Source organism: Homo sapiens, chromosome 10 (genome assembly GCF_000001405.40).
Source record: "Homo sapiens chromosome 10, GRCh38.p14 Primary Assembly".
Classification (NCBI taxonomy): Eukaryota; Metazoa; Chordata; class Mammalia; order Primates; family Hominidae; genus Homo; species Homo sapiens.
Window position 1 is genome coordinate 88,894,583 of NC_000010.11, and position 14,727 is coordinate 88,909,309.

Here is a 14,727-nt window from a genome sequence, read left to right on the forward strand (position 1 = left end):
TTCTGTAAATAATCTCAAATAATTTTTATCAATGAGAGAAAATAGATTAAAGGAGGAAAAAGACCGAATTCAAGAAGTTTAGTAAATAAGTTGCCTTTTAAGTGATTTTTTTCTAAATGAATGACAGATTAAACGGAGCAAATTAGAAATGGAGGGAAGCATTGTTAATGTTGAATTATGAAGAAAGGGTTAATGTTTCTATTTTAAGTTAAGGAGTAAATAATATATCTTAGAACTGTTTCCTTCAAAAATATTTAAATCTCATAATATTTTATGATTATTATTTACTATTTTACTATTCAGAATCACCTCTTTTGTCACGGGATTCATATAGCTAAAGATTTTCTTATATTTCCAGAGGAATCCTATGCTAATTAGGGAGCATATTACAGAATCCTAAGAGTGCCTTTTGTAATGGCATTTTAAATCTTATATAATAACAATTTAGAAGAGAACGGTTTTAGGGTAAGATCAGCAGCTCAGCCATGTGAGCAAGGAGCCAGGCTCATTCCACCCTTGGGTTCTGCCATCCTCCAGACACTGGCTGTCCTTGGACTTGACCCTTCTAGGTTGCAAAATGGCTGCTGCCTTTTAAAACTTATGTGAAGTCACATGTTCAGCTGATGAAAAGGCATATATTCCCTAGGATGTCTCTTTGTATTAGAGATGAAAATTTCTCACAGAATCCTCCCAACAGATTTCCCCTCAGGTCTCATTGTCCAATATTTGGTTACTTGCCAACCAGCCAAGTCCTGACTACAAGGGAGACTGAGAAAGTGACTATCTCTAGTGGGACTGGGCCCTGCTGGTGAGGAAGAAGTAGTGGTGGCTAGGGGATAGATAACTGTCTGTCAAAAGCTCATTGCAAAGAAGCAAGTAGTTACACATCAACCGACCATCTGATATCTGTAATAGAAGTCAACTTTTAGCAGAGGTCATTAACCTCACCTCTCCAACATTTGCTGTGAGAAAGAACTGATTTTCTTTGAGTTTCTTCCTGCAAGCTGGGAACTATAATGGAACTTTATTACCTCATTTAAGCTTTAGTTGAATTCTTCTGGAAAGCTATTGTTGTGCCTATTTAATAGATGAAGATAAGGTGCACAAAAAGGTTAAATAAGCTGCTGTAGCACTCCCAACTAGTGATAGAAACTGGCCCCTCCTAAAGTAGTATATGGCCCCCAAACCTGAGCTCTTCGTGCTAAGGGCACCGAACCACTTCATCTTGGTGGCTGGATAAAAAGTTTGTATTACACTATGCAAAATAATTATTTTATGGCCCAGTATGTGACTTTCTTGCACTCACAGTAGCCTAGATCTACCTCAAGGTAATTTAACACATGCATCAGGAGTGGTTTGTTTAATCATCTTTCCTGTAACAACTACATTCTTGCTCATTGATCTAATATAAACCATTCTGTTGTGACTGGTATATTTAATGTGGAATATACCTCTAGAAGTAACAGACAAGCACCTGGCACCTAGTAAATGATAATATATAGTACTTACAAATATAGGGAAAAAATCCAATAAAAGCTATTTCTAATATTATGATCATTTCGTTTTTATCTTATCAATATTTTAGTAAAGATAATTTATCATCTATGTCACAGCATATTTCTGATTGCAGATATTATAGAAGATAAGTGTAAAAACAAATCAATGTAATCTTTGCTTTTGATGTCTGAATTTTTAAAATCCTTCAAAAGGGACATGAAGGGTGGGCCTAGATTTATTTATTTTTCCTGAAGTAGGGCCCAATCTGTAAGACTGTGACTCAGGAGATCCTTCTTTGTGTCTCTGTCATTTAAGACATGGGAATGACCCTTTACCTCTCTTTATCTAAATCAGATTAGGTCATTGCAGCCTACAGGCTGAGTTACAATAATTTTCTTTGTCTACCTCCAACTGAGTAAATTGCACCATGTTCTTCCTGGAAAACATGACCACTAACCCAGTGGCTGTTGGTTTGGCCAATTAGAAATGAGACTGCTGGAGGTGGTATAAGGTGCTCTGTCCTCTCTTAACTGCCAATGGGCCACACCTACTTATCCAGGTCACTAGGGCACTCAAGTCAAAAGAAGTGCCTGGGAGAAAATGGCACATTTGGGTGATGGTCTCGCTGGCTGTTTACTGTATGCTGAGTCTCTTAGGAGACCGTTCACTGCCTGGTAATCATCTGCTTTCTGAATTCTGGAAAATATTTCTCTGTGGATGAAAATGGGTCAGGATTCTGAACTTTGCCACACACACACAAACACACACATACATGCACGCACGCACACACACACACTATTTTAAGAAAAAGAAAGAAAGAAAAGAAAAGGAAATTAAGGCTGAAAAAATCACAAAATAAGCACCATGCTAGGTCAGATATTTTCCTCTGTTCATTCTTGCATTGTTTGCTGCTGATTTTAAAGGGCAGAATTGTTGAGACTCTTCCATGTTTCCATGGGGGACTTCAGACTTGGAAACATTGCAGGGACACAAAAGCCAAGAGGATTTTGCTATGGTTATGTAGAGAATAAACTGTTACAAGCTCAGAGCTGTGAAATACCAATTTGGAGAGGATACTTACCCCCTCCCAGGCCACTTATGGATGAGACAGCATTTTGGCCACATCCCCTCTGGGCACAGTCGACTGCTCAGTTGGTTCTGGGAGCTACTTGTTAGCTGAATCTCTGGGACAGGGGTTGGCCTCCATGTGCTCATTGTGAATATGTATGGTTCTGACACCATGATTCCCCACATTCTTGTGAGTCGGATTAACAGAAAGCAGACACTCCCCTACTCCTCTATAAAAGGTCAGATTAAAGAAAAAAAATGATGATGTCTTTGGAGGTTATGGTCAGGAAAAGGGGCTAGCAATAAAAGCAAGAAGGCAAGAGCTCTGAAGCAAGAACTCTGAAGAGATATCTTAGAGGTTAAACAGATCACAAGGCTGTAGTTCAGATGATCAGATGTTATCAAGCCACAAGAATGTGAGGTAGAGGTCAGGGAGTAGGCTGAGATTAAAGCGGGCGTTTCTGATGAATGTTTTCCATTAGTTTTAAGCCACTCTAAAAGCAGCGAAGTGTGGCTGTGACAAGCGCCCTGCCGAATGAGTAAAGTAAACCTTGGAGGGGGCTCAGTAAAGGATATTTAGCAAGCAAATGATAGAGCCTAGACTCAACACCCAGGCTTATCTCACTCCAAAGGCTGTTTGCACCGTGTGCTTTGTAGCACTTTGGACCTCCACTTTGGAGGGGGAATTTATTTTATTCTTGCATGATACTGAATACTTCCCATTAGTTAGCATCTGTGGATCTCAAGTACTATGAGGTGAAGTACCTCTTACTGTACCCTCAGTTCAAATTTTCTAATTGTTTTAGTAAGACCACAGTAGCACAAATGGCAAGTGGTACTTGCTGTTAATTTTTCCTGTTTTAGATTCTCCTGGCCCACTTTATTTCTGATTAGATTGAGGTAGCATAGTGAGTTTTTGTTTTGTTTATTCATTTGCATTGTTGATCTAGAGCCGTGGTTTTCAGACTTTATTGGTCTTGGAACCCCTTTACACTCTTAATTACTAAGGACACTAAAAAGCTTTGTTTATGTGAGTTATATCTATTTATATTTACTGTATTAAAAATCAAAACAGACATTTATAAGAGTATGCAAGTAAGCATTCCATTAACTCTTGTACCCTCTGGAAATCTCCACTATACAACTGTGAAAGATTGATATTTAAAAAGTCAAATAATGCTTTAGTAATATTATGAAAGTAATATTGACCTCACAGACTCCCTGACAGGATCGTGGGGAACCTGGACCACATTTTGAGAGCCACTGAACTAGAAAACATACCTGTTTATGTTGATCTTGCAATTGTTTATAATGCAACTGTAAGTGCCAGGACTAGGGGGCAAAAAGATAAAGGAATTAAGACAGGACCATCAGCTAATACATGGTTCAAAAAATAAGTTGACTGACCAGTCTGTGAACTTCTTTCATCTTAGATTTGAGGGGAGTTGGCTTCTATTTCTGAATTATTAATATATTCATATGTGGGAGTGAATAGTTTTTATCTATAGTAATTTAATAAACTCTGATGTTTAAGATATGTTTAAACATTTCATACATATAGAAGCTCATTACAGAGATGTTTGTTTCATTGTTTCTGCTCACACTTAGCATTGTTTTCTGGTCACCCAGCCCTGAATCCACCTTTCCTCTCTTGGCATATCCCACTGCCTCCTACAGGAGGATAAAGTGCTAGATATTTACATTTTCGGCCATCTTTTCAGCCAGGCTGCAGGCATGGGACCCAGACTTTGCCAGTCAGACATCTGCATCTCATGCTTTGAAATAGAAACTAGAGACATGCAGAAGTACATGGCGGCTGCACATCGTTCCCAGGGCAGCAGCTAGTTGCTGGAGTTGCTGGTGTTGGTAGTAGAAGCTGTAGAATCCCCTGTTCATCAAGTGATAGAGATAGCAGAGGTGTTTTCACCAGACCAATGCTGCTGTGTAGTCTGGGGCAGTGTTCTTGGATATGTAGCTTCCAAACCTGATTTCTCTGGCCTTCCTAGAAGTTTGTGTTTTTTTTCATTATCCTTCTGTGAATTCAAGAGTCAGACCTTTGCCTGCAATTAAGAATCCTGCTTAATTCATTCTGAAATGCAGTGTCTCTCAAAGTATTGTTTGGAAACCTCATGTATTGGAATGACTGGGCCATATCTGACAATACCTACTTGTGGGCTTAAAACCGATGGATTCAGAATCCTTAGGGTGGGTCTTAGGAGACTGCATTTTAAACAGATCTCAGGTTTATGTGATTTTAGATGCAGTAAAATGTAAAAACCGCTATCCTAATATTTTCAACCTTTTAAATTCTATGCTCTCTCTTTATGGATCTGAGCAATCATCAAAAGAAATAATTCTACTTTTTAAATATTTTATTTTTGAGCTGGAGTCTCGCTCTGTCACCCAGGCTAGAGTGTAGTGGTGCCATCTCAACTCACTGCATCCTCCGCCCCATGGATTCAAGCAATTCTCCTGCCTCAGCCTCCCTAGTAGCTGGGATTACAGGCGTGCACTACCACGCCTGGCTAATTTTTGTATTTTCAGTAGAGACGGAGTTTCACCACGTTGCCCAGACTGGTCTTGAACTCCTGACCTCAGGTGATCCGCCTGCCTCGGCCTCCCAAAGTGCTGGGATTACAGGCGTGAATCACTGTGTCTGGCCAATTCTACTCTTTTATAAGGCCCTAATAAATGACTTACTAGTGTTTTCTTGTTCCCCTCCCTCCCCGGCTTCACATTCCCCATAAGCCTTTGCTCTGTCTTTTTAACGCTTTTAACGTCTTTTTTTCCTGGTTTATTTCTTCTCACTGAGAAGTATTAATTCCTCAGTTGGGATTGCCTACATTCAGTGGTGCCAAAATTGTTAACTCAGCTTCTAAACTACACTGTGATGAACCATGTTTTTTCTTTCTTGGGCATTTTTTAGCCTGCAGGCTTAGAGCTCAATGTTTACCCCAGGGATTACTGGAGACAATGGAGGGGAAAGACTGGAATACAAGAGTAATTTTTCTTGAAGGGTTCCTCCACCATGGATTTAGGCCAGAAAATAGCACTGGAGCTGTTGATTGATCTACTTCTGAGATTTCTAGAATCACTGAATATTATAACTGAAAGGAATCCATCTTAACCCCTTGTTTCCTAAGTGAGGAACTGAGGAGAAGATCCATGTTCAAAGTCATCTAAGTGATGAATGGGGTATAAAGGACAAAATAAATTTAGAAGTGGAAAGTGGTGATACAGAGCTTGACCTAAACTAGCATAAAAAGGATGGGAATTACTAATATTTATTGAATTAATATTTAAACTTGGGTACATTCACTTGACTTCTCTGAGCCTCAGTTGTCTCAACTATAAAATAAAGATTCTAATAATAGCTAACATTGATAAAATATTGACTATATGCTAGGAGCTATTGATACTCTAAAGACTTTATGTGCTAACTCATTTGATCCTAGAACAACCACATGATGTAGGAACCACTGTTTCTCCCATTTTGTAGATGCACAGAAAGGCTATATAACTTCCCTGCAGTCACACAGCTAAACATATTTGTTTTCTATTGCTGCTTTACAAATTTTTATGAAATTAAAGGCTTAAATATACATGTATTATCTTGCTGCTTTTTGGTTCAGGAGTCTAGGCACAGCTTATCTAGATCCTCTACTCATGGTCTCACAAGGCAGCAATTGACTTGTTGACATGGGCTAGAGTCTCATCAGAGGCTTGCAGTCATCTTCCAAGCTTGTATGATCATTGGCAGAATTAATTTCCTTGCAGCTTTGGAACTTGTGGTGGCTGAGTCTTTAAGGCCAGCAGGAGAGAATCTACTTCTTTTAAAGGTCTTACCTGATTAGATCCAGACCACTCAGGATAATTTTTCTTTTAATTAGCTTAACATTATTAGGGGGATTCTTATATCTACAATATCTCTTCATCTTTGTCATGTGATTCAACATATTCATGGGAATAATATTCCATGACCTTTGCTGTCTTCTATTGGTTAGAAGCCAACTACAGGTCTTAAACACACTCAAGTGGAGAGGATTACACAAACCTACAGATATCAAGGGGCAGGAATCACAGAGCTATCTTAGAATTCTGCCTGTTATAGTTCTAAGGTTGAGTTTAAATCCAGACTGGCTCTAAGTTTAACAGTCCATGCTTCTAATCAGTATTATCTTCTTTATTCCTTTGAAGAAAGCAAACCTACTTTATAACCTTGCATAGAGTTCTAAGTAAGGTATCCCGCAGCAGATTCATACTGGGTGTCAGTCAAATGTGAATTATTTTCACACCTTCACTTTTAAAGATCAGCTTCAGGAAACTATAACCACTTGCAGTTTTGTATTTTCAGGAAGAGATTTCCAACAGTCTCTCTAAACACTCAGGTTATATAGGTTATTTCAATTTGTTCCTGTTTGTCTGAGGCAGAGATAACCCTGGGGTTTGGGATTTCAAACTTGGGTCTCAAAAAATAACTTTAGTTCTGCTTCTTGTTTTTGAAACAGATGAAGTGATTGAGAAGAAACAGTGAACATCCTCATTTCACAGATAAGACAACATGGATCAGCCTTTTACTGTGAATTCTCTGGTAGGTCACACCAGCTGATATCTAACATTTGGTTGGAAAGCCCAAAAAGAAGAACAGAAACATACAAATGTGAAATGAGTCACAATTACTTTAAGAAGTTTAGCACTTGTAGTTTTTCATCCATCTGTGTGGTTGTCTTCTTTGAGGAAGTGACTAATAAAGCTATCTTTGTAAGACTTAAAAATAAATTTTATTTTCCACAAAAGTCTAAAATTTTAGTTTATCTAGCTAGATTCCAGGAGTGTAGTCCTTTGGCAAAACACCGGAGAGAAGAATTTCAGAGTTGATATCTGAGGAGCTACTTAAAGCTCTTTGTGCCTCAGCTACTTTATGGATAAGAATTGGAGGCTCACCTTGTATGGCGTTAACTGAGAAAAACATACATAACACCTAGGTACTGCTTTGGATCCTCGTGTAAATGTCTTTGTACTTGAAGCTCTTGTTCTTCTCACTTTTCCCCTCACTGCCCAGCACTGTGCACACTTTCTCTAGCTACATCACATGGGCTTATTCTGTGTCCTAGATCAGTCTCTGAGTGTGAATATAGACACATTATGTAATCTCCATGGCCCTGATTTTGTACTTTTTGCTCAATGACAATTGGAAACAATATTTTTGATGGTCCTAGCCTACCAGGATGGTACGATAAATGGAAACTGTCATTCCCATTTTCCTCCTCTTGATGACCCTCCCCAGCCACTCATGGTGACCTTGTAGGAGTAGCCCCATGAGCTGCAGTATACTAAATACCCTGTACGCACAAAGACTAGCACCAGGACATAAAGAAAGAGAGGGCCTGGTTCTTGTACTGAAATAGGTTGTGACCTAATGTTTTTTCTTTTTTTTTTTGAGGCGGAGTCTCGCTCTGTCACTCAGGCTGGAGTGCCAATGGCACAATCTCGGCTCACTGCAAGCCCCACCTCCCAGGTTCATGCCATTCTCCTGCCTCAGCCTCCTGAGTAGTTGGGAGTATAGGCTGCCGCCACCACGCCCAGCTAATTTTTTGTATTTTTAGTAGAGACAGGTTTCACCGTGTTAGCCAAGATGGTCTCCATCTCCTGACCTCGTGATCAGCCCACCTCGGCCTCCCAGATTGCTGGGATTACAGGTGTGAGCCACCGCACCCGGCCCCTAATGTTTTTTCTTGACCAAGAAAGTCATTCACAAAAATTAGTTGTCTTCAGAGTATATTTGGAAAGGTAGACAATTGCAGAAACATTTTCACTTTCTGTCCCCATGTTGTTGTTCCACTATGGTTAATAAAGACTGACCCATTTCCACCTCTCCAGAGGAAGGAGTCATACTTATGAGATGTCTTCTGTGTTTTTCTAGAACATTATATAACAATAATTAAAATTTTATTGTATATGTCACTGTAAAAATGAACACAAAGGCTTTTTATCTGGAAAATTTGTGTTTTCATCCAAGAAGTCTGCATGCAAATGAAATATTATAGATTGATGAAGACTTTAGGTTATTTTCCAGCTTATCTTTGAAATCAGTTTTAAATTTGGGAAGGTCCATTCAGAAGAGGAAAAATCAATCTAATTTTCATTTTCAGGGAAAAAAAACTAATTATAATCTCTTGTTGCTTCCTTCTCTCACTTCCGTCTGTCTTTTATTTGATATACCTATTAATCATCACTTATGTGGCAGGGAATATGCTACATTCTAGGGAACAGAGATAAATGGAAAATGATCCCTTTTAAAACCCCAAGGAGTTCATAAGGGATCAGATACACTTGTACAGAAATAATTATAACTCAGTGTGGACTAAGTAGTAGTAAAATATGAATACATTACTTTTATACATATGAGAGGCTGGAACCCCCTTTAGAGAACATTCTGATTTTCATAGATTTTTTTTCTAGTCATTTTTCTGATGTCATTGAAGCAATTATCTGTGTCAAATGACAATATTTTCTTTTGGTGCTGTTGAGTTCTATAGCCGAGTGTGGTTAGGGAAAAGTGGATGGATTGCTGTAGCTTTTGAGACATCTCAATTGAAAAGACTATATACTGAAGCCCGAGGCTCAAAGTTCAGAAACTCCAATTTCTGTCTCTGATGTGGGGAAGCCACGTAATAAAATGTACAAGGGACATGGTATGGTTCTTACTTAATGAAGCCTTGAGAAACAAGTTTATGGGTCTCTGGTTACATATTAAACCTTTAGGACCAAGAATCATTTCAGATCTCTGAGGTTCTATTGGCTATAAAATTACCACCAAAGTAGACCAGATGGCATTGGAAGAACTCCAGATATCTAATTCACTATACCCTGTCCCTGAAGGTTGGCTCGGTAATTCATGGCCAGACTAAAAGTATGCTTACCTTGACTTCTTTTATAGCTTTCTACAGACTTGAATGAAGTGCTCCACCCACACAGTAGTCAGACTTGCAACCTACCCTTAACTGACCAAGGCGGCCTTGAGAAGCTAAATTTGCTCTAGACTAACTCTGTTCTGGGAGCATCCAGCAATGGTAGAAGGGGTTGGTCTAAAGCCTTGCTTCTCAAACTGTACAGGCATAAGTACCTCTGGAAAGATGGATTAAAACATTGATTCTCCTGCCTAACTCCAGAGATCCTGACTATAGGTCTGAGGTGAGACCTGTTAGGAATTTGCATTTGTAAGAAACTCCCAGTTGATGCTGATGCTGCCAGTACATGGACCATGCTTTGAAACATGCTGGTCTAAAGCAGGGGTCAGCAAACTATGGTGTAAGGGCCAAACCACCCACTTGCTTTTATAAATAAACATTTAGGGGACACAGCCAGGGTCATTTTTATCCATATTGTTTATGGTGACTTTCATGCTGAGAGCTGAATTCAAGTTGCAATGGAAACCATATGGCTAGCAGAGCCTAAGATACTTGCTATGTGGCACTTAACAGAGAAAATTTCCTTTCTGAAGCACCGACTTTTTATTGAATAATTATTCTGAATTGCATATGTTCTATGCTTTACCAAAAGTGTATAGATGCTGTTTTTATTAATAAAATTCAAATTGCTATCACTGACATTTCTTAGTAACATATCATTATTTTCTTAGTCAAGGACTAATTTAACAGTGTACTTACTATTATATGGAGGTCTGAGATTCTTTTTATGTTAAAAAAAATGGGAGGGGCATTCTTATGCTTGAAAAGGCTTCTCCAGGACTTACTTGTGGGTTGTTTTTTTTTTAACTCAATGAAGATGCAGAGAAGCCCTGAAAATTTCTTACTAAACAACACTTATTCTGGAATAGAATTGAATCTTTATAGTAACTTGAATCCAAGTTACCTCCTTGGAGACCCTTCAGAGTAGACTGACATGAACCCTACAATGGCAGGAATTCATCTTATGACCTGCTTCAGATGATCCCAGATAGAAGCATGCACAGGGATATGAGGAGCAATGATATTTTACCTAAAATGACCTGAAACATTTGCATACCCTGAAACCTAAAGTGAGATCCCACTCCAATAAAACTGTATGTTTACCTTGGAGGTTTGTCTTTTTGTTGTATAAACCATGTATTTTTGTTGTATAAAGCATGTTTAAGCAAAAATGCTTTACTTTGATTATATCATTAACTTATGAAAAGATTTCCTTAGGTAATGGTGTTAGGTTCCTCATAAAGAACATATGTCCATAATATTAGTCATATCCTTTTCTTACTATAATCAACAGTTAATCAGAGATTTAAATTTTGCTTTGCAGAAAAAGTTAGCTGCTATGCCTGACCATACAGATGTTTCCCTAAGCCCAGAAGAGCGAGTCCGTGCCCTAAGCAAGCTTGGTTGTAATATCACCATCAGTGAAGACATCACTCCACGACGTTACTTTAGGTCTGGAGTAGAGATGGAGAGGATGGCGTCTGTGTATTTGGAAGAAGGAAATTTGGAAAATGCCTTTGTTCTTTATAATAAATTTATAACGTAAGTGTTTTAAAGGCCTCTGAAGTGAGAAAATTGGAAAAATATTTACATAGTTATTTTGATGTGGCAGTTTGGGTATCAGTAATGTTTTCATATTCAGACCAATTGCACAGTCTCTAGGAGCATTAAATGTTCAAGTTTTTAAATTACCAACTAATGTACTCACAGGCATCCCAACACCATCTCTGAGGCTTAGGGTCAGGGAGGGCAGGAGGCTCAGGGTTATCAGATTTCCTTTCCAAGGCCAGCATAGTAATCTATTTAATACATGTTTCACTCTTCTTAAATATAATTTATTTTTTCATGCGATTTTCCCCGACAGAAATGGAAGCTTTATGAGAGCAGGAACTACAGTGCAGCTCCATTTATAGCACCTAGAACATGCCATCAACATTTAAAAAATTTGATTTGGTGGGTTGAGTCTAGGGGACAAGTTGGGAGACACAGGAAAGATCTGATTCAGGTTCAGGGATAGGTTCAGGAAACTCATTCAAGTTTCATATAGCACTTATTATTTCTTTTTAAAAAACATTTTATTTGGCTATTAAGAACACTATGTACAAAAGAGCTGTCAAAATGTTGAGTAAAAGTGGCTACATCAAAACAGCCATGTCAGAGTATCATGTTTCCTATTAGACAGATATTTGTTAGTGACATATCCTAGTTTAAGAGTTAACAGAAATGGGACTTCGTCTTTCCTTACTATAAATCTGGTAACTTACTAGTTGAAAGGATGTCCTGTCATCAATAATTATATCTTCTAAGATGAACCTTCTTTTTTTTAATTGAAAGTCACATGCCGATTACTTTTGCTAGCTTATTATTTATTAATTTTATTTAAGTTGACAAATAAAAATTATATGTATTTGTGGTATGCAACATGTTTTGATACATATATGCTTATATTGTGGAATGACCAAGTCAAGACAATTAACATATTTATTACCTCACAGACCTTTTATTGAGACAGGGTCTCCCTGTTGCACAGGCTGAGTGCAGTGGCACAATCATAGCTCACTGCAGCCTCGACCTCCCTGGCTCAAGTGATCCTCCCACCTCAGCCTCCCGAGTAGCTGGGACTACAGGCATGTGTCACCATGCTCAGCTAATTTTTTATTTTTGTAGAGATGGGATCTTACTATGTTGCCCAGGCTGATCTCCAACTCCTGGATGCAAGTGATCCTCCTGCTTTGACCTCCCAAAGTCCTGGGATTATAGGCATGAGCTACTGTGCCAGACCCAAGCTGCATAATTATGCAATACATTGTTATTAAGTATAATCATCATATACACTGGACCTCCTGAACTTATTCCTCCTGTCTAACTGAAATTTTGTATCCTTTGACCAACATCTCACCCCCATCCTCAACTGCTGGAACTCTGATAGCTACCAGACTACTCTCTGCCCCCCTGTGAATTCAACTATTTTAGATTCCTTCTACATTGTAAGTGAGATCATGCAGTATTTGTGTTTCTGTGCCTGGCTTATTTCACATATAATATCACTAGCTTAGTCAGGGGCTTAGCCTGAGAACATTTAAGAAGTTGAAAGATACAATATTTTAAAAATTGCCTTCCATGATTCTACCGAGGGCAAAATTAAAGGCAGTTTACATGGTATGCAAAAATTGAGATCTGCATTTTATTCAAGTTACTGAACTTGAAAATTTAGAGAATGGTTGGCAACCTTCACCCTACCTGGGAAAATCACTTGTTTTTAGAAAGTTAAGTAATAAATATGAAATTAGAAGTTATTCTCCACCATTGATAGCCAAACTTTTCCAATAATTTTTGTTTCTGAATAAGTTACCAATTAATAATATTTCTTTTTCACCTTCTGCTCTGATCTTGCATATGTTCCTATGGAATTGTGAGCCTGGTGAAAAGGAAAAGGCCCCTATATCTCAGAATTACTGTGTAATCAAAATATTTGAATTCTCTTGTATTATTAGTTGTATGATAATTTGTAATTCACTTATTCTTCCTGGGCCTTAGTTCCTCATCTACAAATGAAAGATTTATGGGAGAAAATCTCTGAGGTCCCCTCTGCTCTAAATGTCTTTGAATTTATTCTATTTATAAAGGCTTAGATAGCTAACAACTTTTAAAGCTTCTTTAAGCCTTAATTTTCTCATTTAAAATGGGAATTATGCTAACATTTCTGTCTAACCTATAACCTTGTGATCAGATGAAATTAAATGATGAGTATATGTGTGTATGATTTGATTTACAGAATCAGTAAGTATAAGGCATATTGTTTGATCAGAAATAGCATTTACAGCTCATTATGATTTATCAAGGAAGGGTTATTCATTCATTTTGCAAATATTTATTGAGCACTTATTATGAGCTGGATGCTATTCTTCAGGCTGAGGATACATCAGTGCATAAAAAAGAGAATTCCCTGCCTTTGTGGTAGCAGTTTCTTCACTTTACCTGGAAGCGATGCACCTGGTTTGCTGTAGGAATTTCCTTTCACTGCTGCTGTCTCTTGTTCCTCAAACGGTGACGAAAAATAATGAATTCCTAATTAGCAACTCCTAATTCACTAGGGATTCTGGTTGTCACTTTTCTTAGTTATGAGTTTTCGGTTAAGAGTTTTTTGATACACGATGGCGCTGCTGATTCATCAGTGGTCGTTTGAGTTTTTTTCAAGAGTGAGAAGGGATTTACATCACTCTTTCCATGCTCTGATATTTTTATGTGATTCTCTCTGTTGCCAGCAGTATGCTAAAGTAAGGTGGTGCTCTTTTGGGGCTAAGCATGCAGTACCTGAGAAAGATCAAAGTGACTTGAACTGTTTGGAAAGTACCCTGACCTTAATCTTGTTAGCTTTGGTGCTTAGTTGGTTGAGCTTAACCATTAATACCAAAATAATACTCATGCCAGACTTTAGTGAAAAGGCAGATGGCAAGACTGAAGGTAAATGAATAAGTTATTAAACATGTCATTTTTGAAAAAGGATCCTCATTCCCTTATTAGAAAGCATTATTGAACTTTTGCTGTCACATAATGCTAAGGACATGTTTTCTCTTCCTTAGCTTATTTGTAGAAAAGCTTCCTAACCATCGAGATTACCAGCAATGTGCAGTACCTGAAAAGCAGGATATTATGAAGGTATTGTGGGTTTTCTTCTCCACTGTGGAATCAAATGCTCCATAAGTATCCATTATTGATTCACCCTTCCCCTTCCTCCCCTTTCTCTTTCTCTTGAGAGTTTGAGCGCAAGAAATTCATTCCATTAACTATGATGTTTCGATTTTTTCTTAGACATTTAATGATCATCACTGAGCCAGTGTGGTTTGTCTAATTGATGCTGGGGGAAAAGAAAGAAATACGTTACCTAATAGTGTGAGGAAGGAATTATTTTACAATAATCTCTCCCAGAGGTTAAGAGAATGTTGTGTATTTCTGCGAACTTCTTTCAGATGGTCATTTTGGCTGCTTTTGATTATTTTATACAGCCCTGAACTCAATAACTGTTTGAAAATTAGTGTTAGTTATTAAGGCAGCCACAAAGTTCTAGCTATTTACATCTTATAGGACTGGAATTATAGATTAGAAAGTGTTGTGGGGGAAGCAGGAGGTGGTAGACTAAAATACTATAAAGGAAAAAGAGTGTTGCAATTTATCATCAATTTTTTAATGA

General features: G+C 38.1%; 1 protein-coding gene across 12 annotated transcripts in view, besides 3 other annotated features; it reads left to right on the forward strand.

Moving 5' to 3' along the window:
- Positions 1-14,727, forward strand: part of STAMBPL1 (STAM binding protein like 1) — a 43,243-nt gene that overhangs the window by 14,338 nt on the left and 14,178 nt on the right. For 11 of the 12 annotated variants that reach the window (XM_047425551.1, XM_011539985.3, XM_006717930.4 and 8 more), the window contains 3 exons: positions 7,074-7,156; positions 10,861-11,078; positions 14,120-14,195. In XM_047425551.1, coding sequence (XP_047281507.1) covers positions 7,127-7,156; positions 10,861-11,078; positions 14,120-14,195 — 324 coding nt within the window. In that variant the 5' untranslated portion in view covers positions 7,074-7,126. Of the gene's footprint in view, positions 1-7,073; positions 7,157-10,860; positions 11,079-12,244; positions 12,524-14,119; positions 14,196-14,727 lie in introns of those variants that run through there. The other variant, XM_017016458.2, reaches the window with a different exon arrangement.
- Positions 4,257-4,346: an enhancer, noted in NCBI's record as "active region_3728". NCBI's record gives its function as "activates an Ori minimal core promoter by ATAC-STARR-seq in GM12878 lymphoblastoid cells {active_cell/tissue: GM12878}" and the evidence as "EXISTENCE:reporter gene assay evidence [ECO:0000049][PMID:35858748]".
- Positions 7,324-7,373: an enhancer, noted in NCBI's record as "active region_3729". NCBI's record gives its function as "activates an Ori minimal core promoter by ATAC-STARR-seq in GM12878 lymphoblastoid cells {active_cell/tissue: GM12878}" and the evidence as "EXISTENCE:reporter gene assay evidence [ECO:0000049][PMID:35858748]".
- Positions 7,504-7,603: an enhancer, noted in NCBI's record as "active region_3730". NCBI's record gives its function as "activates an Ori minimal core promoter by ATAC-STARR-seq in GM12878 lymphoblastoid cells {active_cell/tissue: GM12878}" and the evidence as "EXISTENCE:reporter gene assay evidence [ECO:0000049][PMID:35858748]".